The sequence below is a fragment of the Homo sapiens genome, chromosome 1 (assembly GCF_000001405.40).
Source record: "Homo sapiens chromosome 1, GRCh38.p14 Primary Assembly".
Classification (NCBI taxonomy): Eukaryota; Metazoa; Chordata; class Mammalia; order Primates; family Hominidae; genus Homo; species Homo sapiens.
Window position 1 is genome coordinate 183,123,332 of NC_000001.11, and position 27,736 is coordinate 183,151,067.

Below are 27,736 nucleotides of genomic sequence, written 5' to 3' on the forward strand. Positions count from 1 at the left end.
GCCTCACCTGCTCCCCTACAATGGCTCCAATCTCAACATGAAAGCCAAAATGGTCCTTTCAAAATGTACCTCAGATTACACCACTTTTAAACCCTCCAATAGCTTCTTGATACACTAAAACCAAATCCTTTACTCTGACCTCCATGCTTCTACATGGGTTTGAACTGCTTCCATGGCTTATCTTGTTTTTCTGAAACTTTCTTCCCTTGGATATTATCCTGGCTGGTCTCTTCTCTGTCTTTCCATTGCTATCCCAATGTCTCCTTCTTACAGAGGCTTTCCCTACCCACCAATATAAAGTAGCCCTCACCTTCACCCCATCATGCTGCTCTATTTTGTTTAAATTTTTTATGCTTATCCCTATCTGAAGTAATCTTGTTTATTTGTATGTCTGTGTATTGGTCTTCACCAACCGCTGCATACACTTCATGAGAGCAGAGACCTTGTCCACCTTGTTCACATCATCCTAATGACCTAGAACAGTGCTGGTATATAGTAGATGCTCAGAAAATACTTGTTGAATGAATTAATAAACCTCGGATTCCCAGAAATTTGAGTCTAATTCAGGCCCTACTGGTTACAAAGATATCACGAGCCCAACTTGAACTAATCAAGGTAGGAAAGTGGAAAAGGAAGGATGAGGAGCAGTGAGTAGTAGAGTGGAAAGAGCTCTGGATTCTAGCTCTCCCTCTCTACCTGTCACTTCTTTGGTTGCAGGCAAATTACTTATCCTCTCTGTTCTCTGAGCTATAATATTTAATACAAGCAGTCAGCAACTGATGATTTCTAAGTTCTCTTCTAACATGCCCTGATTCTGTACCAATTGATACTGATTAACAAGGATTAGCACATGCCTCTTACATTTTAAGAGAATGGTTCTGCTCACCCTGTTGTGTGGGAAACTTACAGTGTCAAGAGTGGCACTTCACCTCTTTTAATATCATCTGCCAAAACAACATATATGAATGTGCCATCCTTTGAGACTGGAGAAGTTTATAAACCTTGGGCTTGACTCATTTACCGAGCACTTTTAATACATGATTTGGGTTGATTGTCACAACAATTAAAGTGAAGTAGGCAGACCAGGTGCTTCCTGTCTAGTGAGGAAATAGAGATGTGCTCAAGGTCACTCTGGTGGTCTGGCCCCGTGCCAGGGCTGCAGCCCAGGTCCTCTGCCCTCCACTGCACCATGTCTTCTCTCATGTGATGATTACACTAGATTACCTGTAGCCAGTGGTAATCTAGCACCAAAAATGTCTAAGGCCTTTCTTTCATAACATCAGATTGTCTCATCCCCAGGTAAGAGATGTGAGCTCTGTGATGATGGCTACTTTGGAGACCCCCTGGGTAGAAACGGCCCTGTGAGACTTTGCCGCCTGTGCCAGTGCAGTGACAACATCGATCCCAATGCAGTTGGAAATTGCAATCGCTTGACGGGAGAATGCCTGAAGTGCATCTATAACACTGCTGGCTTCTATTGTGACCGGTGCAAAGACGGATTTTTTGGAAATCCCCTGGCTCCCAATCCAGCAGACAAATGCAAAGGTAATCAGCCTTTGATCAGATTCTGTCACAGCTAAATGCCCCTTTATTGTGAGAATTCTTGTGTGTCTCTTAAAATATGTATAGTTGTTTAGTCCAATAGAAATACATTGTGAACCGCTTTTGTCTTTTAAAATTTTCTAGTCACCACATTAAAAAAGTATAAAGAAGGACAGTCATGGTGGCTGACACCTGTGGTCCTGTAAAAAGAAACAGGTGAAATGAATACTAATGTATTTTATTTAATATATCCAACATATGATTTCAATAAGTAATCAATAAAAATTGTTAATGAAATATATGTTTTTTCTCACGCTAAGCCTTCAAAATCCAGTGTGTATCTCACGTTTATAGCACATCTCAATTCAGACTCACCAGCCACATTTAAAGTGCTCAGTAGCCACATGTGACAGCAGCTACCAACCTGGCAACACAGGTCTAAAGAATCTCTTTAGGTTGTTTATATTTTAGTATTTCTCTCAGGTGATTTGTGTCTTTTGCCATCTCTGTCTTCCTGCCTTAGCCTGCAATTGCAATCTGTATGGGACCATGAAGCAGCAGAGCAGCTGTAACCCCGTGACGGGGCAGTGTGAATGTTTGCCTCACGTGACTGGCCAGGACTGTGGTGCTTGTGACCCTGGATTCTACAATCTGCAGAGTGGGCAAGGCTGTGAGAGGTGAGACATAGGTGCCTTTGGTGAAAGTAATCTTTGCTTTTTCTGTTATAAAAAATGAATTTTTATAAGTACATTTAATAATTGACTGTTCAGAAATTACTGGAGCGCCTAATGTAGGCAAGGCATCCTTCAGGGGCAGTGCTGGAGAATTGTAATAAAGCTAATGAAAGAAAGGAGTGGAGCACAGTGGCCCCAGCTGTGCCAGAATCACCTGAGCAACCTTTTAAAAGCACAAATTGCCGGGTCCTTTCTGAGGCACTTAGAATCAGACCCTTCAGGGTTGCAGCCTGGGAACTTCTGTTTTCAAAGCTGCTACTTAGTGTCCATACAGTCCCAGGCTGGAGAGCACTGGTAGCAGTTAAGTTAGGAAAAGAGGTTCTGAATAGCACTCATGAAAATTACTTGAACCTTAGGGGCTTAATAACCCTTAACATTCCATCTTAGTAACCCTTACCATTCAGTTTTCTGATACAAGTTACAAATTACATCAGTGCTATACTAAAAAAAAAAAAAAGTTGTGCTTAAAGTCTGTTTTTCTTGCCTGAGAAATGTCCTGTGTTCATTTTCAGGTGTGACTGCCATGCCTTGGGCTCCACCAATGGGCAGTGTGACATCCGCACCGGCCAGTGTGAGTGCCAGCCCGGCATCACTGGTCAGCACTGTGAGCGCTGTGAGGTCAACCACTTTGGGTTTGGACCTGAAGGCTGCAAACGTAAGGGGTGTTGGTGGCATACAACTCTAAGCTTCCACTAATTCCAGTTAGTGTCTTAAGGCCAGAAAGGACTTTGACAGCCTCAGTCTAGCCACTTGACTCATAGTCAGGGCTGTACCTAAGTCATCGTAGATGCTTTATTTGAAGAATATTATCCATTTCTAAAACTCTGCAGATCAAAGCCTTCTCTGGTTTCTTTGTATGTTTTCTTTTACAACGTTTCTGATGCTTCCTTTTTCCAATCTTTTATTTTTTCCAAGGAAGTCTTCCTTTGATTACTGAGCTTTCCCACTGTGGTTCATGAAACTTCTTTATTGATTGCATTCTTAGTGCAGATAATGAAATAGTGGAGGATTCTGTTCACAACATGTTTGTTGACTTGCTGTAGTTGCTTCCCACCCTTGGGGCCCTTTTGGTATGATTACGTGTAAACATCTGCTTCTCCTTGGCATAAACACTTGCCTGGAATTGGGCCTCAGAACAGATTGGCTTTTGCTTTCTGAATTCCTTCATTTCTCCTGTGGAATGTAGCATAAGTAATTGACTCAGTTCAGAGAACACAGTGAATAAACAAACTATAAGATAATGCAAAAGAAGCATTAGCATTTGGGTTTTCTAGTTCCTTAGAGAAATATTAAACAGTGGAGAATTGAAGGTAGAGATGAATCCTTGAAGTGCATGAAACGAGCACTGATAGTTTCATAACTTCTCTAATTGCTAAGTAACCTGAAGTGTGTCCCAAAGGTTGCACGTTTTACTTTAAAGCTCATTTTGACTTTTAAAAATGTCAGTTTTCTCTGCTAAACAGACTTAGCCATTTAAGATCTCATAAATAGTCCTGTTTTTCAAAAAAATTATGACAGTATAGTCAGCTTATAGTCAGCTTATTGTTATCAGTCTGAATTAAGAGATATACTCTTCCTTCTTTTGCTAATTATGTATTATTTTCTCCTTATTCTGCAGCCTGTGACTGTCATCCTGAGGGATCTCTTTCACTTCAGTGCAAAGATGATGGTCGCTGTGAATGCAGAGAAGGCTTTGTGGGAAATCGCTGTGACCAGTGTGAAGAAAACTATTTCTACAATCGGTCTTGGCCTGGCTGCCAGGAATGTCCAGCTTGTTACCGGCTGGTAAAGGATAAGGTAAGCTGTCAATAGTGCATTCATTCATTCATCCAGCAGACGTTGAGTGGCAACTTACTGTGCACTAATCTCTATAGAAAAAGTGGTGAACAAGGTAGATGTGGTCCCTGTTCTTAAAGACTTATGTTCCAGTTGGGAGGCAAATAATAAAAAATAAATAAATAAACAAAACAAACACTGAGATAAGTGCCAGGAAGAATACAAATGGAGAATAACTGGGGGAAACTACTTTATGTAAGGCCTCTCTACAGAATTCATCTAAGGTGAGATCTGATGGATACAAAGGAATGAGCCGAGTGAAAAGTAATGGTAGGTTTGTTCCAGGCAGAAGGAACCTGGTATACAGAGGCCTGAAAGCTGGAGAGTGGCTGGAGCCTGCTGAGTGCAGAGGGTGTGTTCTGTTTTTTAAGACGGGAGAGGTTGGTACGGACAGGTTATATGGGAACATGATGACCATAGTAAGAAGTTTAGATTTTATCCCAAATCCAATAAGAATGCATTGAAGAAACTCTTAAAATCTGGGAAATCCAGATTATATTTTAAGAGGAGCACTCTTGACTGATGTGTGAAGAATGATGGTTAGGAATGGGGCTTAATGGGAAGCCTCAATTGGATTGGATAAATATGCGTGTTTGGGGACAGGATAGGAAAAGAGAAGAATAAGGATGTGTCTTGGGTTTTTTGCTTAAGGTAGCTGGAGGCCTTATTTACTGAGATGGAGATTCCTCAGAGAGAATAGAGGTAAGAGGTATAATTTTGGATGTTAAGTTTGAGATACCTATCAGAGAGCTGAGTGGAGGTATCACGAAGGTAATCTGACACTCAAGGGAGAGGTCAGAGCTTAAGACTCATCAGCATACAGTCTTTAAAGTCAAAGGAACAGCTCTGAAGGTTTTTTTTGAAGCTGGAAAAATAAACTAGCCACGTCTTCTCTTCAGAAGTAGACATGCATGGAGTGGATAGAACTACATATTCATGCAGCACACCAACATGGCACATGTATACATATGTAACAAACCTGCATGTTGTGCACATGTATCCTAAAACTTAAAGTATAATAATAATTAAAAAAAAAAAAAAAGAACTACATATTCATGGAGTGCCCATGATTCCTGCAGGAAGTGTGATTGAGTTCTTCAGGAATACTTGTGTGTCCTACCTTTCCCTTTTCTTTCTTCTTTATGTTTAGGTTGCTGATCATAGAGTGAAGCTCCAGGAATTAGAGAGTCTCATAGCAAACCTTGGAACTGGGGATGAGATGGTGACAGATCAAGCCTTCGAGGATAGACTAAAGGAAGCAGAGAGGGAAGTTATGGACCTCCTTCGTGAGGCCCAGGATGTCAAAGGTACGCATGATTGAACAGTGCATGACTTCTGTGAGATGGACCAATCTTTAGATGTGGCTCCTAAAGCAAGGTTAGTATAGTTTTATAAAATTCTTTCTCAGTTTTTAAACTACTCATAGATTATAAATCATTTCATTTTTTAAACACTAATTCAAAAAGCAACCTGACAAATTTACTGCTTTAAGCTACAGTAAGCATAGGGTGATTTTCCAACAAATAAAAAACTATTCGATATTCAAATTTCAAGCATTTTATGAATCTGTTCTATTACAAGGTGTCTTAAAATATTAAAATAGTTTTAAAAATCATTAAAGGCATGCGTCTTCATAAGCTTTTTTTTTTTTTTTTTTTTTTTGAGCCACAATCACTCTGTTGCCCAGGCTGGAGTGCAGTGGCGCGATCTTGGCTCACTGCAACCTCCACCTCCTGGGTTCAAGTGATTCTCCTGCCTCAGCCTCCCAAGTACCTGGGACTACAGGCACATGCCCACCATGCCCGGGGTAATTTTTTTGTATTTTGAGTAGAGATGGCGGTTCACCGTGTTAGCCAGGATGGTCTCGATCTCCTGACCTCGTGATTTGCCCACCTCAGCCTCCCAAAGTGCTGGGATTACAGGCTTGAGCCACTGCGCCCAGCCAAAAAATTTTTACATTATCAAATAATTGAGTAACCTTCCAAGCAGGACCACCATATATAGTTAGGCAAGAGTTTGTAGAATGTCACCTCTGCACATACATTTGGTAGCCAAGTTCCAAGTTGGTTTTTTCCAAACCTGTATTCATCTTCATTGGTCTTACCTTTGACTTCTCATCTTTTTTTTTTTTTCCCACATTCCTTAGAAAATTTAGACCCCAACACCGAGCATGATGCTGAAATATGAATTGGTCAATTTACTTAATGGTTTTTATATATTAATAAAACCTCATGATACATGAGAGTTTTAATAATAACAGACTTATATTTATCTTTTGATTTGTTAGGACCTGAGTATGAGATTTAAGTTGAATGAGCATATTAATAAAGAATAATTTGAAGAACTATTCAAAAACAGAGATCAGTTTGAAAGAAATTACACTGATATGCTGGCACATGGGGGTGGCAAAAGAGTCTATTTAGTTTAAAATACAAAATGAGTTTAATTTGTCATACTTCAACTTATGTTTTAAACCTAGTTTTTTCTGGGTTTTGAAAAATGTTCGGCTTTTAGGGCTGGCAGCATTTTTAACAACATTGTAGATTTATGACTAAATTGCATGTGCTGGTATTAAAGTCAGTCATTCTCACCTTCATTAAACATTCCTTGGGTGTCTTCTCTTTGCCAACCACTGCATAAGACCAGCGATATAGTGGTGAGTAAGAAAGAGTTCGTAGTCAAGTGGACAGATGGACGCACGGTTGGAGGTGTGATGAGTGCACAGTGAAGGACCTACTGGGTGTGGTAAAGGCTGTCCAGCTATGGCAGGGGCTTTGTGGAAACCTGGCAGAAAGTTGCGATGTTTAGAAGAGTAGAGATACATAGGGCCTCAGATTTCATGTGAGATGATATGATCCTCTTCAGATAATTTACAGACTTTCTTCTGCAAACCATTTTAGATGTTGACCAGAATTTGATGGATCGCCTACAGAGAGTGAATAACACTCTGTCCAGCCAAATTAGCCGTTTACAGAATATCCGGAATACCATTGAAGAGACTGGAAACTTGGCTGAACAAGCGCGTGCCCATGTAGAGAACACAGAGCGGTTGATTGAAATCGCATCCAGAGAACTTGAGAAAGCAAAAGTCGCTGCTGCCAATGTGGTAAGTGATTGCAAACGTCTGAGGTGGGGATGGGGGAGGCCCCTGGGGTTTGTAGCAAGTCTGTTACTGGCAGTGGAGTGCTTCTTCAACTAAATTGACTCCATGCATCTTTTTATTTGTCCCTAAATATGGGGCAGAAAAGCCACATTGCTCATAGTTGGCATGAAACAGTTATTAAAAACTGGATAAAAACCAAGGGACATCTGGGTTATTTCTCTAGCTTTGTTCCTTCTATGGAACTAGGCAGTTTAATCTTCCTTTATCCTTTACTGAAAATAGAATCTGCAATCAAGGGTGCTGATATTAAATAAAGATCTCTGAAAATAAGAAGAGGTATTCTTGGGGCCAGGCGCGGTGGCTCACGCCTGTAATCCCAGCACTTTGGGAGGCCGAGGCGGGTGGATCACCTGAGGTCGAGAGTTCGAGACCAGCTTGACCAACATGGAGAAACCCCGTCTCTACTAAAAATACAAAATTAGCCGGGTATGGTGGTGCATGCCTGTAATCCCGGCTACTTGGGAGGCTAAGGCAGGAGAACCACTTGAACCCAGGAAGCAGAGGTTGCGGTGAACTGAAATTGTGCCATTGCCCTTCTGCCTGGGCAACAAGAGTGAAACTATCTCAAAAAAAAAAAAAAAAAAGGTAGAGGCATTCTTTTTGCCCTCTAACAAAAATTTAGTTTTGACTCTTGCTTTATTAAATGTAAATAATTCAGTCCTTTGAGAATAAGTGCTTTATTTCCTGTGCAGTCAGTCACTCAGCCAGAATCTACAGGGGACCCAAACAACATGACTCTTTTGGCAGAAGAGGCTCGAAAGCTTGCTGAACGGTAACTTCTAGATCCCTGTTTAATGGTTAAGTTGTGGCTTCTGTTATGGGGTGTGTGTGTGTGTGTGTGTGTGTGTGTGTGTATTGTCTTATCCCATAACCCATAAACACTTTCTACATAACCCACTTTTGCACACTTTGCTCTCTTTTCTAAGATATTATCAGCTGTGTATACTCTTTTCTTCCTTTTACTTTGACATTAGAATATTCACTTTGAATATTAGAATACAATGGTTTGAAGACAAATCATATTTATATTTCTCAAAACCATAATATTTTTAGATTTTTAACTTATTTAAGACTGTAGTAACTGAATGAAACTAGCAGATTGTTGTTAATAAAGATTAGGCATGGGATTTGTTTTTAACTAGGTAAATGATTTCTTGCTGGCATACACAATTTTATATGTACATTACTCTCAAATAATTAAATTTAAAAGTAGTTTTTCTGAAGAATTATAAACATTTTCTCTTATAAATGTATACCAATAATTTTTTTGGAAAATATTCTCATCTCAGTTTTAGAATGCTATTCATAAATTCAGCCCCACTGAAATGATCACAAAATTCCAAATGAATGACGTTTTCTAATATTTGTAGAATTGTTGCCCATGTTAGTATATGTACATATAATAAAGTAGGCCGGGAGCAGTGGCTCATGCCTGTAATCCCAGCACTTTGGGAGGCCAAGGCGGGTGGATCACCTAAGGTCAGGAGTTTGAGACCAGCCTGGCCAACATGGCGAAACCCATCTCTACTAAAGATGCATTAGCTGGGCATGGTGTGTATGCGTGTAATACCAGCTACTCAGGAGACTGAGGTAGGAGAATTGCTTGAACCGGGAGGCGGAGGTTGCAATAAGCCAAGATCACGCCACTGCACACCAGCCTGGGTGACAGAGCGAGACTCCATTTCAAATAATAATAATAATAATAATAATAATAAAGTAAGCATTACCTGAATTTTACTTATGTCCCTATCAGATGGTTGTTTCATGGCTTATTTTTTGTTTTATCTGTATAGTCATAAACAGGAAGCTGATGACATTGTTCGAGTGGCAAAGACAGCCAATGATACGTCAACTGAGGCATACAACCTGCTTCTGAGGACACTGGCAGGAGAAAATCAAACAGCATTTGAGATTGAAGAGCTTAATAGGAAGTGAGTATAATTTGAAAGTGGTTTACACCCCTTCAGGTGTTCTGGTAAGTAACACTAGTTCAATGAAAAATTAAATGCTGGTGCATTCAGGGCATACATTCATGCAGTAAGATTTCCTTTGTTAATCATGCTTTTGAAATGGAAAAGTAAGTAGAGAAGGGCATGTGAAGCCACAGAGATTTGGTTTGATTCAATTACTGTAACTACAGAGAATAGTAACAAGATGAGCCATGATACTTAAAATTGTGCACAAATAAAGAAGAAAAAATATAATAGAGTAAGTAGAGGAAACATAATTGAACTACAAATCTTTAAAGGGTGTCTGAAATAAGAAAGTATATGGTAAGCCATACATTATAGAAAATTTTTTCTTTTTTTTGTTGTTTTTGTGAGATGAAGTCTCACTCTTGTCCCCCAGGCTAAAGTGCAATGGCGCGATCTCGGCTCACTGCATCCTCTGCCTCCCGGGTTCAAGCGATTCTCCTGCCTCGGCCTCCTGAGTAGCTGGGATTACAGGTGCCTGCCACCACACCCAGCTAATTTTTGTATTTTCAGTAGAGACGGGGTTTCACTATGTTGGCCAGGCTGGTTTTGAACTCCTGACCTGAAGTGATCTGCTCACCTCAGCCTCCCAAAGTGCTGGGATTACAGGCGTGAGCCACTGTGCCCGGCCAAGCCATACATTATAAATAGAAATGATAAAAGAAAATGTAAATATGCAAAATGTTGGTATTAAAATGCAAGCATTTTAATGTAGCATTTCCTTTGAGGTTTTGGGCGTATTATCACATGATCATGTTAATCTGGTTAACATTAAGATGCTAAAAGCAGCTAAGATTGTCATTAAACCACATTATTTGTGTCTTAGGTATGAACAAGCGAAGAACATCTCACAGGATCTGGAAAAACAAGCTGCCCGAGTACATGAGGAGGCCAAAAGGGCCGGTGACAAAGCTGTGGAGATCTATGCCAGCGTGGCTCAGCTGAGCCCTTTGGACTCTGAGACACTGGAGGTATGGGGGCAGCCTGTACGCACAGCCCCACCCCGTCTCTCCCCCAAGTCTATGTGAGAGCCGACTGCTCTGCACCTCCCTCTGTCCTCCCACTGACTCGCTGGTAAAGTTGAGTCTTATTTCACATACGCTAATAGAACTTACCAAGGTAGCCAGATGTGGTGGCTCATGCCTGTAATGCCAACCCTGGGAGGCTGAGGTGGGAGGATTCCTTGAGGCCAGGAGTTCAAGACCAGCCTGGTCAACATAGTGAGACCCCATCTCTTAAAAAAACAAAAACAAAAACTTACCAAGGTAAAGAATCCTGTGATTGTAAACATTAAATAGCAAAGACTACTTTAATGATATGAACAATCACTCCTAAGTCTTTAGTGCAAATCCAAATTATAATAATACATTTGAATTGCTTAAAGCAGAGTACATGTAGACATTTACTCCCAGGCTCTGTCTAGTAGAGACCTAGAGAGAAATAAGAGAGAATGGTTTAATTAAAAGACTATAGCAGGATGTTCTGAGGCAGGTAAAATATTTTGGAATTGGTAGGATTTTATTTCATATCTGTACTCTTAATCATGGATTCTCACTCCAAGCTCTGTATAAATGGTATTTTTTTTGCATTAAGCTTGAGGTTTACTAAGTTTCACTTCTTATATCTGAGGTGTTGACTTGATTTTTACCATAAAGGTTTAGGTCTCTTTAGATATGTACAGATTGTCTGATTCTATATATTTATAATTAGAAAATAGGCAGAATTAGTCTATGATGATAAAAATCAGAACAATGGCAGGCACAGTGTTGGAAAGGTAGAGTAGAGATCGGGTGGAAAGGGAGAAAAGGGAGCTTCTTGGGTGATGGAAATCTGTATTTTGATTGGGGTGTTGGTTATGCAGAAATGCATTTGTCAAAACTCATCAAACTATATGTGGATTCTGTGAACTTCAGTGGGTGTAAAGTATATCTCATTTTTTAAAAAAGTCCATAAAATCTTGATCTGTGCAGTTCTTTTAAAAATATCATTGAGTATTAGGTGTTACAGAGTTCCTAAGCCTACCTTTTCATTAGTTTAAATGTTTTATCCAAAGTGTAGTGATCTTACTTGCTTTTCACAGAATGAAGCAAATAACATAAAGATGGAAGCTGAGAATCTGGAACAACTGATTGACCAGAAATTAAAAGATTATGAGGACCTCAGAGAAGATATGAGAGGGAAGGAACTTGAAGTCAAGAACCTTCTGGAGAAAGGCAAGACTGAACAGCAGGTTGGTTTGATTTGCAGGTCGCTTCATTTCTTGAGGCAACATTTGAACAGTCCAAATGGGTCTGTGATGATGCCGTACTTTCAGAGACAGCAGACCCCAGTGCTGAGAGAGCAGCCTAACAGATTTTATGCTGGCAAGTCTCAGGGTGGCACCTCTGGAGAGCCTTGTCTGTCCAGGAGACAGAAGGGATTTGCTTTGAGGGTTCATCCTCTCATCTGCCATGTGTTTGCAGACCGCAGACCAACTCCTAGCCCGAGCTGATGCTGCCAAGGCCCTCGCTGAAGAAGCTGCAAAGAAGGGACGGGATACCTTACAAGAAGCTAATGACATTCTCAACAACCTGAAAGGTAGAAAAGGCTGAGATAACAGGGGCAAATGCTTCCGCCACTAGAGTGATTTTTTTTTTTAATCATGACTTTTACCATATTTATTACTTCATCCCCAACTCCCTACTTTTTTTATGCTAAAGTATTTCAAAGGGAAATCCCAGAGCTCCTGTCATTTTATCCCTGCATACTTCAGTATGGATTTTTTTTTAAAGATGTTTTCTTATTAGGCAAACTCACATAACCAAGATGCCTATTTAGAGAACTTATATAGGTAAATGGAGATTATCTTTCATTTTCTCTGCCAGTGGCATCTGATTCTTTGTTGTTGTTTTTTTTTCTTCACCCCAGATAGAAGAGAAATGTGACCAATTCACTGAGCAACTGTGAATTCTTGTCTGATAAAACAGTCATAGGTTCTATAAATAGAGAAGCTTTACAGGATGCTTTACAGGGTACTAGTTGAAAATATGGGCCAGGCACGGTGGCCTGTAATCCCAACACTTCGGGAGGAAGGATCACTGGAGGCCAGGAGTTGAACACCAGTTCCTCACTGGGGAATATAGTGAGACCCCATCTCTATAAAAAAAAATTTTTTTTTTAATTAGCCGGGCATGCTGGCACATACCTGTAGTCCTAGCTACTTGAGAGGCTGAGGTGGGAGGATCCCTTGGGCTCAGGAGGTCAAGGCTGCACTAAGCAGTGATTGTGCCACTGCATTCCAGCCAGGGTGACAGAGTGAAACCTTGTCTCTCAAAAAAAAAAAAAAAAAAAGTAGTAGTTCAAAATATGGACTCTGGTGTCAGTGGGCCTTGGTTCAAAACCCTGCACCCTGCACCACAGGTCATGTAACTTCTTTAATCCTCAATTTTCTTATAAAAATGATACAGCCTATTTTATGTCAAAGACACAAAGCTCTTAACTCAGTACCCGACACACAGTAAACACTAAATAAATTGCAGCTTTTAATAATGGTTGAGGTAGTGGTAATGGGATGCTCAGCGCTCTGCATTTTAAAGCACATTGTTGAAGTAAGAATTCTATTTCCAGAAACGGAACATTTCTATAACACTAACTGGGAGACCTATTCTGTAGAGATGTGTAATTTCTAAAATTTCAGCCCATGCTCTCTTCCATTTTTTACCCTGACTTCCATTGTTCATAAAACAAAATCCAGTTGGAACTCCCTGAAAGGCCCCCTTTTTACTTGTTGGGAGTTTAGCTCAAATGTGTCCTTGAACTTGTTTCAGATTTTGATAGGCGTGTGAACGATAACAAGACGGCCGCAGAGGAGGCACTAAGGAAGATTCCTGCCATCAACCAGACCATCACTGAAGCCAATGAAAAGACCAGAGAAGCCCAGCAGGCCCTGGGCAGTGCTGCGGCGGATGCCACAGAGGCCAAGAACAAGGCCCATGAGGCGGAGAGGATCGCGAGCGCTGTCCAAAAGGTGTGCGTTTCCTCTTCTCCAAGAGTCCCTGCCCATATCTTTCTCTGGTCACTTTCCAGTTTCTTTCCAGACCCTCAGAGCCCTTGCAGATTTTTTTCCTGAACTTCAGTAAAATTGTCTTAAACCATATTTGTCTTTTTTTTTTTCTTTTGACTAGGCATGAGAGTAGGTATCCACATTGAGGAGGGGAACTCAGTAAAAGGGTGCTTTACTCTAAAATTTCTACTATGTCTCAGTGTGAGGTCTGGCTTCAGAGGTCTATAGAGCCCATTCCCACAAAAAATCAGACTTTTTCTAAATAAACATTCTTCTTTGACCTAGACAGGTGGTATTTATTTCAATACTATGTAGTGTGCCTTATCAATATAACTTTCAAGTCCCCCTTTCAAGTATATTGCCATATGTAAGCCACTCCTAGGAGAGACTTCCCATAGCTGCCATTGCTAGGATTCTTTGAAGTCATCTTCAAGAATAATGTTTTTTAGTTTGGCTTTCTCTTATTTCAAGGTCAATCTGTTTGTTTTATTTAAAAGAGAGATTGGAGCAATTTTAGAATTAGGTATTTAAGAATCAGAGAAACCTCTTAGTTTCCTTAGAACAGTTGGCTTTTGGATTAATTATATTTTATAAAATACTCATATTTCAGGATTGTGGTCTTTTTGTACATTATGATGAACTGCCAAGAATGAACCAAGCTAGCTTTGAATTTAAATTTTACCTCAGCGAAAGCATCTAATCAATATGATGTCGTAGAAAGTGTATGCCATTAAATGTTTATCATTTGCTGTCTGTATGACCCCAACTAAAAATAGCAATAATAGAACAGAAGTTTCCAGGATTAAAGAAGAGGATACAAATGAAAGTGCTAGATAAAATACAAAATGTTATTATGTGGGTAGTAATTTTTTTTATGATTATTTATAACCCAAATTGATAATGTAAGTCATGAGATAGTATAAATCAATATATTATTATTTCTGGATTATATTTTTAAGACATTTTATAAATTATAAAAGGAGCGGGAGCATACTTGAGAAAAAGGAAAGCTTTTTTAAAAAAAGTACAATTTTCTTTTGTGCCTAGAATGCCACCAGCACCAAGGCAGAAGCTGAAAGAACTTTTGCAGAAGTTACAGATCTGGATAATGAGGTGAACAATATGTTGAAGCAACTGCAGGAAGCAGAAAAAGAGCTAAAGAGAAAACAAGATGACGCTGACCAGGACATGATGATGGCAGGGATGGTAAGAGGTTTTGGTATATTTGCTCATTGGCAGAAAGTGAACAGTGTTTAATAATAAAGATCCCCCACTTGTTGAGAAGAGTCTTTTTTATATTGACTTCTGTTTTTCATCACATTGTCTCGTCAAGAATTGGGTTAGTAGCTTACATAGAAGACAAAGAATTTGGATCTTCTGCCAGGTAATTTTGTTGCACAATTGTCCTGTCCCAAAGTTACTCAGTTAAAAGTAAAACATTGCTTTACACGTTTGAGGTTTTAGGACATTAAAAGTATGTGTTTATATTTTTCACTGGGTAATTCATAAATGTTAATAAAAAAGGAATGCAATGAAGTTAATTTTCTTCTTATTCTTGTTCTCCCAGCACCTTTAGAGACAAAGACAAGTTTCTTGTATATAAGAAATTTTTGAAGATGGCATTGTCTACCACCCCACCAAAACATATGAAACTTACATCTAGTTTAATTTTTCACGTTTTGTGATAATGTGTATGCAAGGTACTATTTGTAACAAAATTGACTTGTCAATGGATGGCCCAAGGAAGAACTAAGGTCCATTTTTCTGTTCTATGCTATATTTTGCTTTGAAAAGACTTTAATGGAGTCACAGTAGGAATATTCTTTTTCCAGTTGGGTGTAGCAATCACGGTAATGACATACACGAACTTGTGGTTACTTGCTCACTTTCAGTGGCAAAGAAGAGGCCGTCGTTCACTGCTGCCAGAAAACATAGTCCCTCAGTGTGGGTCATTTTCATCTTGGGATGGAAAAAAGAAGTACAAAGCCTGTTAATCTCAGTAAAAACTCTAGGGAAGTGATAAAGGAAACTATCTCTGTGCAACCACCTAATTTTATTATGCTTTTTACAGGTAGGGGGGTGGATGTTGGTTTGGATTGTCCTGATTTTCTCCGTTATGGTGTGGCTCAAGTAAAAATTCCCATAAAGGTGTCTGGGCGCAGTGGTTCACTCCTGTAATCCCAGCACTTTGAGAGGCCGAGGTGGGTGGATCGCCTGTGGTCAGGAATTCGAGACCAGCCTGGCCAACATGGTGAAACGCTATCTCTACTAAAAATACAAAAATTAGTTGGGCATGGTGGTGGGTGCCTGTTACCCCAGCTACATAGGAGGCTGAGGCAGGAGAATTGCTTGAACTTGGGAGGTGGAGGTTGTAATGAGCCAAGATCACTCCACCCTGGGCCACAGAGGAAGACTCCGTCTCAAAAAAACAAAAATTCCCATAAAAAAAATAGATGTTTCTCACATGTTGAGCATATATGGATTTCATTTTTAATATGATTGTAGAAACATTAGATTTAAAGCATATTGAAAAAGAAAACAGTATATTCTTTAGGAGCTTCAAAAAAGGGTTTTGGTTTAGTTCAAAGGGTGAAAGAAGATCTTTTATTATTTTGGTAAATAACTTCTAAGGAAACAAACCACCCTCACATGCACTATCTCATTTGTATTTCTGTCAATTCTGAAAGGCCAGCATTTGGCCAGTATTATTTGAATCTGTATTGTATTTTTTAACCAGAAGAATGAAGGTTTATAGCTTCATTCTTTTGGAAGAGGAGGCTGGAGACCACAGGTTAAATGCAGGTGCATCGCTCTTGGCCGGCCCTGGCAGGGTCCTTTCTCCCTCCTTTTACACTCGCAGACAAGCTTGTGGATGCTCAATAAGGACAGCTGCCGTTTGGACAGAGATTAATCATTTATTTGTGAAGGTTTTTTCTGCCTTGCTTTCTTGTTCTTTTTTAAATCTTCACATTGTTTTGATCCCAAAATGTTTGTGTTGTCCTTACTCAAAACTAGGAAAAACAATTATGTGGTAAGAGGCTCAGAGCCACTTACTTAAATCTCAACTAGATTTATTTGTGAGAACATCTGTTTTCTGATATTTAGACACTTCCTCTTCCATTGCTGTTTCCTATGACTCATGCACAGTTATTTGTTCAGGTTTCATGGAATTTCCCAAGTGTATTTACCTTTGTTTGGTTTTTAAAATGTAAATTATATTGCCCCAATAAATGAGTATGTGTGTCAGGGGGACTGTGGCTGGGTCATTGCATGTGGAGGGGGAGTTTACAGAAGAGAACTCCTAGAAGAGCTTTACTTAACTATGAAAATTTTCAAAGAATAGGACATTTCTAATAAGTCCCTAAGAGTGTCCTGAAGGACATGTTTTGGTTCTGAAACATAGTTTCTATAATCATCCTTAAAAAATAACTTGTTTCTGCTTAATAGGCTTTACTATGAATATACCTCCATATATTATTGAGTTAGAATGTGAGAAAAGGAGATTAATTTTTGAAGTACAAATATAGTGAGTTAGTGAGTGTAGGCATCCTGACTGCCTAGTCATAACTTTGATGAAGTAGAAATACCAACATCCTCAATATGAAGATATGCAGCAGCCCCACCAAAAAAAAAAAAAAAAAAAAGCAATGAGAGGTTTCAATTTCCTAAGTTAGAAAAGGGAAGAAAATCTGGAAATTAGATTTGTTGGGTCATTGGGAAAAAAGATTTAAAGAAGATGAAAACATACAGTCAAGACTCTTTGCCTCATTTTTCCCTTACAGGCTTCACAGGCTGCTCAAGAAGCCGAGATCAATGCCAGAAAAGCCAAAAACTCTGTTACTAGCCTCCTCAGCATTATTAATGACCTCTTGGAGCAGCTGGGTACGTAGCCATAGAGTCATTTTTGTCAGTCTCTGAATCTTTTGTACTGTTCTTAGGATCTGATATAGTACAGTTGACTCAAAAGCAGATGATATAGGTTTACATGAATCCCTTTTAAGTCATTAATTAAATTATTAATATTTCCTTTTGCTGTTGCTTATTTTTGAAAGCCTTATAAAATAAATGTTTGTCTTGCATGACAGGGTCTTTAAGAGCAACTTGCTTCTTTACCATACTTATTATTTGTCAGCTTTACAGTGTGACCTGAATCATGACTTTAGGCTGTGTTAATGTGACAAGTACTTACTAGGTGCCTTCTGTGGACCTTGCCCTAAGTAGAACACTGTGGTCTGAGGAGTTTCTTTTTATATTTTGAAGATATATTGCCAGCTAGGGTAGCATTTATGGTCCAGTATCATTGTACAACTAAACAGTGATTTTTCTTAACTCATCTTGCTGGCAGTATCTTTAAGGGATTTAAAGTAAAGGATTTCAATAGTAGAATAAAAGAATAGTAGAATCACAGGCTGGGTGTGATGGCTCACACTGGTAATCCCAGTACTTTAAGAAGCCATGCAAGGAGGATAGCTTGAGGCCAGGAGTTTGAGACCAGCCTAGGCAACATAGCGAGATCTCACCTCGTCTCTTCAAATTATTTTAAAAATTAGCTGGGTGTGGTGCTACACGCCTGTAGTCCTAGCTACCCGGGAGACTGAAGCAGGTGCATCACTTGAGTTTGAGGTGATAGTGAGCTGTTATCGTGCCACTGCACTCCACCCTGGGCAACAGAGCGAAACCCTGTCTCAATTTAAAAAACGAAAAAGAACACTTAAAACTGGTCATGACTTTACTGCCTGGAATTCTCTTCATTTGCTAAGTAAGGACAGTCCGATGAGGGGAAAGCTTTCATGCCAAAAGAGAGAAAAACCTTGATTTTTCAAGGAAATCTATGCATACGGAAACCTTCTTTTAATCCAGTTTGATAGGGTGTTAGGGAGCAGGCTTCATTTTAGGACAGATGCACTTTTGTCACCAGACTCCATTATAAAGTGTCAACACTCTAGCCAGGACTCTTTGTAGCAAGGCATTATATTTTAATTTGCCAGCCTTTAAAGACTGGTGCATTTTGTTTTGGTGGGGGGCTACAGGGGTATTTTTTATCGGTCTCAAATGTCAAGAATAAGTTATGTGCCAACAGATGGATATAAAATGAAAGTAAGCTAGAAGAGAAAGCTTTTTGTGGAACAGCCAGACTTTTAACATTAGTCTGACTTGGGTTAGTATCTTTGCTTTGTTGCCTATAGGCTGTGCAAACTTGGGCAAATTATTTAACATCTGAGAATCACTGATGTAAAATGGTCTTGTGAGACTTTAATCAAGTCAAGTATGCATGAAATGCTGTCTATTGTGTCTGCTTTTGTTTGTTATGGAAACATCTCATTTCTTTCAAAAGAACCTCTTTTTCTTGCTAAGCTTAAAGTGAAGACTTGCTGAAATTATTTCAGCATTTTACTCCTGGCCATTTTCCATAGGAAGGCTCCTAATAGTGTCTAACTCCTGAAAGCAGAAAGTGACCTTCAAAACTGACCCATCTTCCCTGGAATCTCTCTAAGAGCTGAGGGATTAGGGTTCTTAGAGATTTGTGTATCTTTGATGGCACTAAAATGACATAGAGTTTACATGTATACACCTGGAAAAGGTATTAAATGTTATCAGATGGCCCTCAAAGGTCTAGAACATGGTAGCTGTGCATTGAGGAAACATTCTGCAAAAACCATTGTCTCAGAAAGAAACATCCAGCTCTATATTAATTGTATGCTCAGACCCATCCCTGCTGGGTTAGGTCAGCATTTGTACTTGGTTTGCATATTTTATACCATTGTGTGACATCAACAATCTGCAAGTCACATTTGCCGGGCTGCCTGTGCAGAATGGCAGCTGCTGGGCCTAGAGTCTAGTGCAGGTACTTGTGAAGGGATCATTCTTACTGAATATGTCTGTTCTCTTCTATGTACTTTCTGACCCTCCAGGGCAGCTGGATACAGTGGACCTGAATAAGCTAAACGAGATTGAAGGCACCCTAAACAAAGCCAAAGATGAAATGAAGGTCAGCGATCTTGATAGGAAAGTGTCTGACCTGGAGAATGAAGCCAAGAAGCAGGAGGCTGCCATCATGGACTATAACCGAGATATCGAGGAGATCATGAAGGACATTCGCAATCTGGAGGACATCAGGAAGACCTTACCATCTGGCTGCTTCAACACCCCGTCCATTGAAAAGCCCTAGTGTCTTTAGGGCTGGAAGGCAGCATCCCTCTGACAGGGGGGCAGTTGTGAGGCCACAGAGTGCCTTGACACAAAGATTACATTTTTCAGACCCCCACTCCTCTGCTGCTGTCCATGACTGTCCTTTTGAACCAGGAAAAGTCACAGAGTTTAAAGAGAAGCAAATTAAACATCCTGAATCGGGAACAAAGGGTTTTATCTAATAAAGTGTCTCTTCCATTCACGTTGCTACCTTACCCACACTTTCCCTTCTGATTTGCGTGAGGACGTGGCATCCTACGTTACTGTACAGTGGCATAAGCACATCGTGTGAGCCCATGTATGCTGGGGTAGAGCAAGTAGCCCTCCCCTGTCTCATCGATACCAGCAGAACCTCCTCAGTCTCAGTACTCTTGTTTCTATGAAGGAAAAGTTTGGCTACTAACAGTAGCATTGTGATGGCCAGTATATCCAGTCCATGGATAAAGAAAATGCATCTGCATCTCCTACCCCTCTTCCTTCTAAGCAAAAGGAAATAAACATCCTGTGCCAAAGGTATTGGTCATTTAGAATGTCGGTAGCCATCCATCAGTGCTTTTAGTTATTATGAGTGTAGGACACTGAGCCATCCGTGGGTCAGGATGCAATTATTTATAAAAGTCTCCAGGTGAACATGGCTGAAGATTTTTCTAGTATATTAATAATTGACTAGGAAGATGAACTTTTTTTCAGATCTTTGGGCAGCTGATAATTTAAATCTGGATGGGCAGCTTGCACTCACCAATAGACCAAAAGACATCTTTTGATATTCTTATAAATGGAACTTACACAGAAGAAATAGGGATATGATAACCACTAAAATTTTGTTTTCAAAATCAAACTAATTCTTACAGCTTTTTTATTAGTTAGTCTTGGAACTAGTGTTAAGTATCTGGCAGAGAACAGTTAATCCCTAAGGTCTTGACAAAACAGAAGAAAAACAAGCCTCCTCGTCCTAGTCTTTTCTAGCAAAGGGATAAAACTTAGATGGCAGCTTGTACTGTCAGAATCCCGTGTATCCATTTGTTCTTCTGTTGGAGAGATGAGACATTTGACCCTTAGCTCCAGTTTTCTTCTGATGTTTCCATCTTCCAGAATCCCTCAAAAAACATTGTTTGCCAAATCCTGGTGGCAAATACTTGCACTCAGTATTTCACACAGCTGCCAACGCTATCGAGTTCCTGCACTTTGTGATTTAAATCCACTCTAAACCTTCCCTCTAAGTGTAGAGGGAAGACCCTTACGTGGAGTTTCCTAGTGGGCTTCTCAACTTTTGATCCTCAGCTCTGTGGTTTTAAGACCACAGTGTGACAGTTCCCTGCCACACACCCCCTTCCTCCTACCAACCCACCTTTGAGATTCATATATAGCCTTTAACACTATGCAACTTTGTACTTTGCGTAGCAGGGGCGGGGTGGGGGGAAAGAAACTATTATCTGACACACTGGTGCTATTAATTATTTCAAATTTATATTTTTGTGTGAATGTTTTGTGTTTTGTTTATCATGATTATAGAATAAGGAATTTATGTAAATATACTTAGTCCTATTTCTAGAATGACACTCTGTTCACTTTGCTCAATTTTTCCTCTTCACTGGCACAATGTATCTGAATACCTCCTTCCCTCCCTTCTAGAATTCTTTGGATTGTACTCCAAAGAATTGTGCCTTGTGTTTGCAGCATCTCCATTCTCTAAAATTAATATAATTGCTTTCCTCCACACCCAGCCACTGTAAAGAGGTAACTTGGGTCCTCTTCCATTGCAGTCCTGATGATCCTAACCTGCAGCACGGTGGTTTTACAATGTTCCAGAGCAGGAACGCCAGGTTGACAAGCTATGGTAGGATTAGGAAAGTTTGCTGAAGAGGATCTTTGACGCCACAGTGGGACTAGCCAGGAATGAGGGAGAAATGCCCTTTCTGGCAATTGTTGGAGCTGGATAGGTAAGTTTTATAAGGGAGTACATTTTGACTGAGCACTTAGGGCATCAGGAACAGTGCTACTTACTGATGGGTAGACTGGGAGAGGTGGTGTAACTTAGTTCTTGATGATCCCACTTCCTGTTTCCATCTGCTTGGGATATACCAGAGTTTACCACAAGTGTTTTGACGATATACTCCTGAGCTTTCACTCTGCTGCTTCTCCCAGGCCTCTTCTACTATGGCAGGAGATGTGGCGTGCTGTTGCAAAGTTTTCACGTCATTGTTTCCTGGCTAGTTCATTTCATTAAGTGGCTACATCCTAACATATGCATTTGGTCAAGGTTGCAGAAGAGGACTGAAGATTGACTGCCAAGCTAGTTTGGGTGAAGTTCACTCCAGCAAGTCTCAGGCCACAATGGGGTGGTTTGGTTTGGTTTCCTTTTAACTTTCTTTTTGTTATTTGCTTTTCTCCTCCACCTGTGTGGTATATTTTTTAAGCAGAATTTTATTTTTTAAAATAAAAGGTTCTTTACAAGATGATACCTTAATTACACTCCCGCAACACAGCCATTATTTTATTGTCTAGCTCCAGTTATCTGTATTTTATGTAATGTAATTGACAGGATGGCTGCTGCAGAATGCTGGTTGACACAGGGATTATTATACTGCTATTTTTCCCTGAATTTTTTTCCTTTGAATTCCAACTGTGGACCTTTTATATGTGCCTTCACTTTAGCTGTTTGCCTTAATCTCTACAGCCTTGCTCTCCGGGGTGGTTAATAAAATGCAACACTTGGCATTTTTATGTTTTAAGAAAAACAGTATTTTATTTATAATAAAATCTGAATATTTGTAACCCTTTATATTTGGTGTGGCCTGAGTGTGGTACTGGGGACATAAGATGTTTTAAAAGGTATAATGAATGAAAAGCCATACATAATACCTTCTTTGGGTGACTTATTTTCTTGAGAACAATTCAGTATACATTTTATATATATATATATATGTATGTATATATGTATATATGCCTCTCTCAAGTTGGGATACTGCAGTGTAGTCTGGAAGTTGGTGAACTTTTTCTATAAAGAGCTAGATAGTAAATGTTTTAGGCTTTGCAGGCCATGCGCCTATGGGCTGTAGTTTACTGGAACCCCAGTGTAGCCTCAATACTCAGTGACAACTGACAGTCAGGCACAGTGGCTCATGCCTGTAATCCCAACACTTTAGGAGGCCGAGGTGGGCTGATCCCTTAAGGTTAGGAGCTCGAGACCAGCCTGACCAACATGGTAAAACCCAGTCTCTACTAAAAATACAAAAATAACTGAGCATGGTGGTGCGTACCTGTAATCCTAGCTACTCAGGAGGCTGAGGCAGGAGAATAGCTTGAACCCGAGAGGTGGAGTGCAGTGAGCTGAGATCATGCCACTGCACTCCAGCTGAGGCAACAAAGCAAGACTCCGTCTCAAAAAAAAAAAAAAAAACTAAGATTTGTTGGACATCCTAAATTAGCAGATGTATGTTAAAAGTTGTCTGTCTCTCAATACACACGTGTCTAGCTTAAGGTAGTTTCTTTAGATGATGAGAAGCTCTTAAGCCTATGATTTAATAAAAAGTAAGTAATGTGCTGCACTAACAGGCTAGAATCGGGTAATTTTACTAGAATTTACCTCACTCTTTCTGGAGGGAGGACCCATCTGAAGTGACCTGAGACCAGGTGAGGCCTTTGGGAGCTACAGAGACAGCAGGAAGGCTTTGGGCCTGCAAAGGCCTTCCCTTTACTCTTTGATGCCCTGTTTATTGCCCTGGGCCTCCGTGGATTTCATGCCACCTTCCCAATCTTAGGAATTGTTACAACTATGATACCTGTAAAGAAGAACCTGAACTACTCTCATTAGACTTCCTCGGAGAAAGCTTTAGAGGGCACTAATTACTAGTACTATTACAGCTTTCTTACATGCCCTGTTTTTAACCTTTATTGAGGACCATTTCCCCTCATTTGTAGGACTAATTCAGATGCAGCTATGTCTCCTTTATCATTACTGTCAGAGTGATAAGTGAGATTTTAAAATTTTGCTCCTATTCCATCAGTCATTTTCAGGACAGCAGTTTCTCAAAAGTTGCTACTAGCATAATCTGATTCAGAATATCCCCAGAGGTTTACTCCATAAATAAACATCCTAGCCCCTTAATACACCTGAACTCATCAGCTCCGCTTCCATTAAGCTCAAAATGGAATGCCTGAAGAAGACCCCAGGCACCCAGGAAGGTGAGGAGGTGGGAAAGCAGGTGGATACATTCATAAGGGAAGGAAGGACAGGCCCAAGGAAAGATTAGATCTCTCCAGGCACATAGATTATGAAAACAGAAACAAGAGAATTCTAAATGGCAGATAATTTTGTCCACACTAAGCAGGTTTAAATGAATAATAATAGGTAGAGTAAAAAATACGAAGCTTTTTAGGAAGTTATCTGTCCAAGGTTCCACTAGGGAGCTATGATCAACTATATAGTGCCTTGTATTTGTATTGAGTCTCCTAGAATGACTGTATTTGTTCTACATTAGTGAATGAATTCTAAATAATAGAAGTCAAATGCATACTTAAGAGAATTATTTTTCTTTAAATCCAATGAAAAGCCAAAAGCCCCGACTAGGAATTCAAACATTAGAAACATCAACATTTCAAAACTTATGACACCTCCATGTCCTTGCCTTAACTCCTCTCTCTGCCTTGAATGTCCTTTCTTTCCTCTGCCCAGTACAGTAAAGCCTAAGGTCAAGGTATCACCTGTGTTGGGATTGGCCAGTCCTTCTTGTGTCCACCACTTCTCCCACCTTTGCTCTGTCTTCTAGAATGGCCCTTGGACACATCTTTATAGTTAGGTGCCACTAATCTTTCCCTCCCACTTTGCTCCCACCCCCAAAGATCAGGGTCTGTGTTATTTATGTTATCCTTGGGGCTAGGAGACATACACTAGGCACTCAGGTTGTATGATAGTGAAAAGGTAGCCTTTCTCCACCTATGCTCCCATACTTGTTACTTTTTTCCTACTGTGCACAGACAGGGAGTCTTATGGCAGTTTGTTCACGCACTGTCTCAACTCCTAACAGCGTTCTGCTCTCTCAACATTCCCACCTAAGTGTGGATTGGCCTCTTGTTTGCAGGAAGATAAGCAAAGCCACAGTCTTGCATTATATGGCACAGCACACACCACATACACTGCCATGTGGTCAGCAACTGGCTAGTGCAATCTGGTCTGCAAGGCCCATTGCCCTGGCTCCCAGCCTCAGACCCACCATTCCCAATGCAGGTTTTCCATACAGTTCCTCCTGCAGCCCAGCATTAATTTCCTTTTTCTCTAATTCCTGGAAATCATCCCAGTAAATTTCAATCAACCAATTAATTTGGTGTTTTATCCTGTTTGCATGTGCACTTTAGCAAGCCTCGTAATTAATACTGGCCATGAAGTTATTATTTATGATTAACTCAGTATAGTTTGCTTATTTCTATAAAAAGTCAAGCATCAGGCACTTGATCAAGAATGTGACCTTCTATTACACTATTGTCCCCATGAGTAAGTCCAACTCAATTTAAGTGATCCTCCATGAAACGTGCCTGGTTTGAAGACAACCCTTCCATCTTCCCATCATTCTTTTCACCTTGGCTACTAACAAAAAAAAATCACTTGAACTTCAGACCGATGCTTTTCAGGCCCATCCCATGGTATCTGCCCTAATACAGAGATCCTTTGTCATCTAGTAACTAAATGCAGCCATCAAATTTTGTCCATGTTACTTTTGTTAATGTTAAGAATTTCTAATCCAATTCCTTTCTGAATATTCAGTGCCTTCTAGGACATTCTGTCCTAATTTTCCTTACACTTCTCTGTTGATCCCCACCACTTTTTCCATGGACATTTCTTTCCTCCTGACCATGGTCTCTGTGTTGGGGTTACTGCAGAGTAAGCACAAATCAGCCATGAGCAGAAATGTCTGGGAGATATGCTGTCCTAGTGTGGATTATAAATTCCTCGGTTGCTGAGCTAGCGTCCAGAATAAAGGCTCAGGAGGCACAGCTGTTATTTCAATGATTATATGTTTGGCGTGGTCAGAGAGGTTTGTGTTACAACTTGCTGATCGTTTGTGGCTCAGACAGTCTGCTCTCAGAGCTGTCTCACTTGGGCTGATACAGGAGATCAGACCTGGCCGGAGAGAGTTTTGCCTCATTGATTTCAGATAGGCTGCCTTCTAAGTTTCTGAAGGACTTAGGAAGGACTGGCATTATCAAGATAGCTTGTATGTTTTAAGGCACTTTCGTGATTATTTTCTTTCATTTCTCCCTCATTTGAAGAGAGTCTTCATTTGGCCAAGGGGGAAACTCAAAGCATGGTTTGCTATTCCACCACCTTTACCACTGTTTTAGCACGTTGCCTTATTCTCTCTCATGATTTGGATCAATTTTCCTTTTATGAAGGAAATATACTTGTATTTTATTATAAGCTGCCTCAAATCTCTTTTTTGGAGAGAGTGAGGCAGGATTTAAATATATCAGCAACTTACCCAATATTAAGGAACCACTTAGTGGCAGAATTATTACGTGGAACCTGATTGTCCTCAAGCAGCCTGGGCCACACACACCATACAGCTCATGCACCTCTCCTGCTCACACACCACACAGCTCACACCCCTGTCCTCCTCACACACCACACAGCCCACACCCCTCTCCTCACACCACACAGCTCACACCCCTCTCCTCACACACCACACAGCTCACACCCCTCTCCTCCTCACACCACACAGCTCACACCCCTCTCCTCCTCACACCACAGAGCCCACACCCCTCTCCTCACACACCACACAGCTCACACCCCTCTCCTCACACACCACACAGCTCACATCCCTCTCCTCACACACCACACAGCCCACACCCCTGTCCTCCTCACACACCACACAGCCCACACCCCTCCTCACACACCACACAGCTCACACCCCTCTCCTGCTCACACACCACACAGCCCACACCCCTCTCCTCCTCACACACCACACAGCTCACACCCCTCTCCTCACACACCACACAGCCCACACCCCTCTCCTCACACACCAGACAGCTCACACCCCTCTCCTCCTCACACACCACACAGCTCACACCCCTCTCCTCCTCACACACCACACAGCTCACACCCCTCTCCTGCTCACACACCACACAGCTCACACCCCACCCCTCTCCTGCTCACACACCACACAGCTCACACCCCTCTCCTCACACACCACACAGCCCACACCCCTCTCCTCACACACCAGACAGCTCACACCCCTCCTCCTCACACACCACACAGCCCACACCCCTCTCCTCCTCACACACCAGACAGCTCACACCCCTCTCCTCCTCACACACCACACAGCTCACACCCCTCTCCTCACACACCACACAGCTCACACCCCTCTCCTCACACACCACACAGTTCACACCCCTCTCCTCACACACCACACAGCTCACACCCCTCTCCTCCTCACACACCACACAGCTCACACCCCTCTCCCGCTGCCCTTGTTTCTCCCTCTCTTTCCCTTTCCCTACTTAGGCTCAAGGATAAGGCACCTAAGGCTAGTTCACCTAGATAATTTTGCTTAATAAGGGAATTCACCTAGATTTTAACCCTCTTTGGAATATTTTTACACCATTTTCATTTCCCTATTCTTTTTGCTTTTTAATAACTTTACTCAGTTTTTGTAATTTTCTTCTTTCAAATAAGTCCCATTATCACAGCATTTTATAAATGATGAGATTGTTTTGTATTTTTATGAAAGACTGTTTTTCTCTTTTCTACTTTTTAAACCCTTTTATTTTGAAATAATTTTAGATTTGCAGAAGATTTACAAAGGTAGTACAGAGAGTTCCCATATACCCTTCACCCAGCCTCCCCCAATATTAGCATGTGACATAACTATGGTACATTTATTAAAACTAAGAAATTAACATTGGTACAGTACTATTAATTAAAGTACAGTCTTTTGCCTACTTTTAAACATCTTTTTTTCTAAGGCTCCATTTTTAAAGTAATACTGGGTTTTAAAGCAGAAAATCAGAATATTTGACATTAATACCCAAGTTATGGGGCAACAGGAATTTGAAGTCCAAAATAATTGATTTTACTTTTATATTATGCTCAAGACTTCCCAATGTATAATATATTCATAGTTAATTGCAGATAATGACATTAAGCAACTTAATAAAATACCCTTAAAGTTTTAGAAAGAGATATTAAAATATCCATCTGAATAAACATGGCATTCACAATATGTCACAAATTTAAGTATTTATTAGATACAGGAAACTTACT

At 40.5% G+C, this 27,736-nt stretch overlaps 1 protein-coding gene and 1 long non-coding RNA gene across 2 annotated transcripts in view; one reads left to right on the forward strand and one right to left on the reverse strand.

The window, feature by feature from the left end:
• Positions 1–22,261, forward strand: part of LAMC1 (laminin subunit gamma 1) — a 122,173-nt gene extending 99,912 nt beyond the window's left edge. Inside the window, exons 14-28 of the mRNA NM_002293.4 lie at positions 1,300–1,545; positions 2,066–2,219; positions 2,789–2,931; positions 3,895–4,073; positions 5,263–5,419; positions 7,013–7,218; positions 7,968–8,047; positions 9,069–9,206; positions 10,075–10,219; positions 11,329–11,478; positions 11,711–11,825; positions 13,055–13,254; positions 14,338–14,496; positions 17,073–17,172; positions 19,203–22,261. Of these exons, the coding sequence (NP_002284.3) occupies positions 1,300–1,545; positions 2,066–2,219; positions 2,789–2,931; positions 3,895–4,073; positions 5,263–5,419; positions 7,013–7,218; positions 7,968–8,047; positions 9,069–9,206; positions 10,075–10,219; positions 11,329–11,478; positions 11,711–11,825; positions 13,055–13,254; positions 14,338–14,496; positions 17,073–17,172; positions 19,203–19,459 (2,429 nt within the window). The 3' untranslated portion in view covers positions 19,460–22,261. The remainder of the gene's footprint in view (positions 1–1,299; positions 1,546–2,065; positions 2,220–2,788; positions 2,932–3,894; positions 4,074–5,262; positions 5,420–7,012; positions 7,219–7,967; positions 8,048–9,068; positions 9,207–10,074; positions 10,220–11,328; positions 11,479–11,710; positions 11,826–13,054; positions 13,255–14,337; positions 14,497–17,072; positions 17,173–19,202) is intronic.
• Positions 15,071–17,939, reverse strand: LAMC1-AS1 (LAMC1 antisense RNA 1). Its single transcript, NR_149048.1, has 3 exons — positions 17,811–17,939; positions 17,480–17,638; positions 15,071–15,249 (listed from the first exon to the last, which is right to left on the reverse strand). It is a non-coding gene; the product is annotated as an LAMC1 antisense RNA 1 (long non-coding RNA).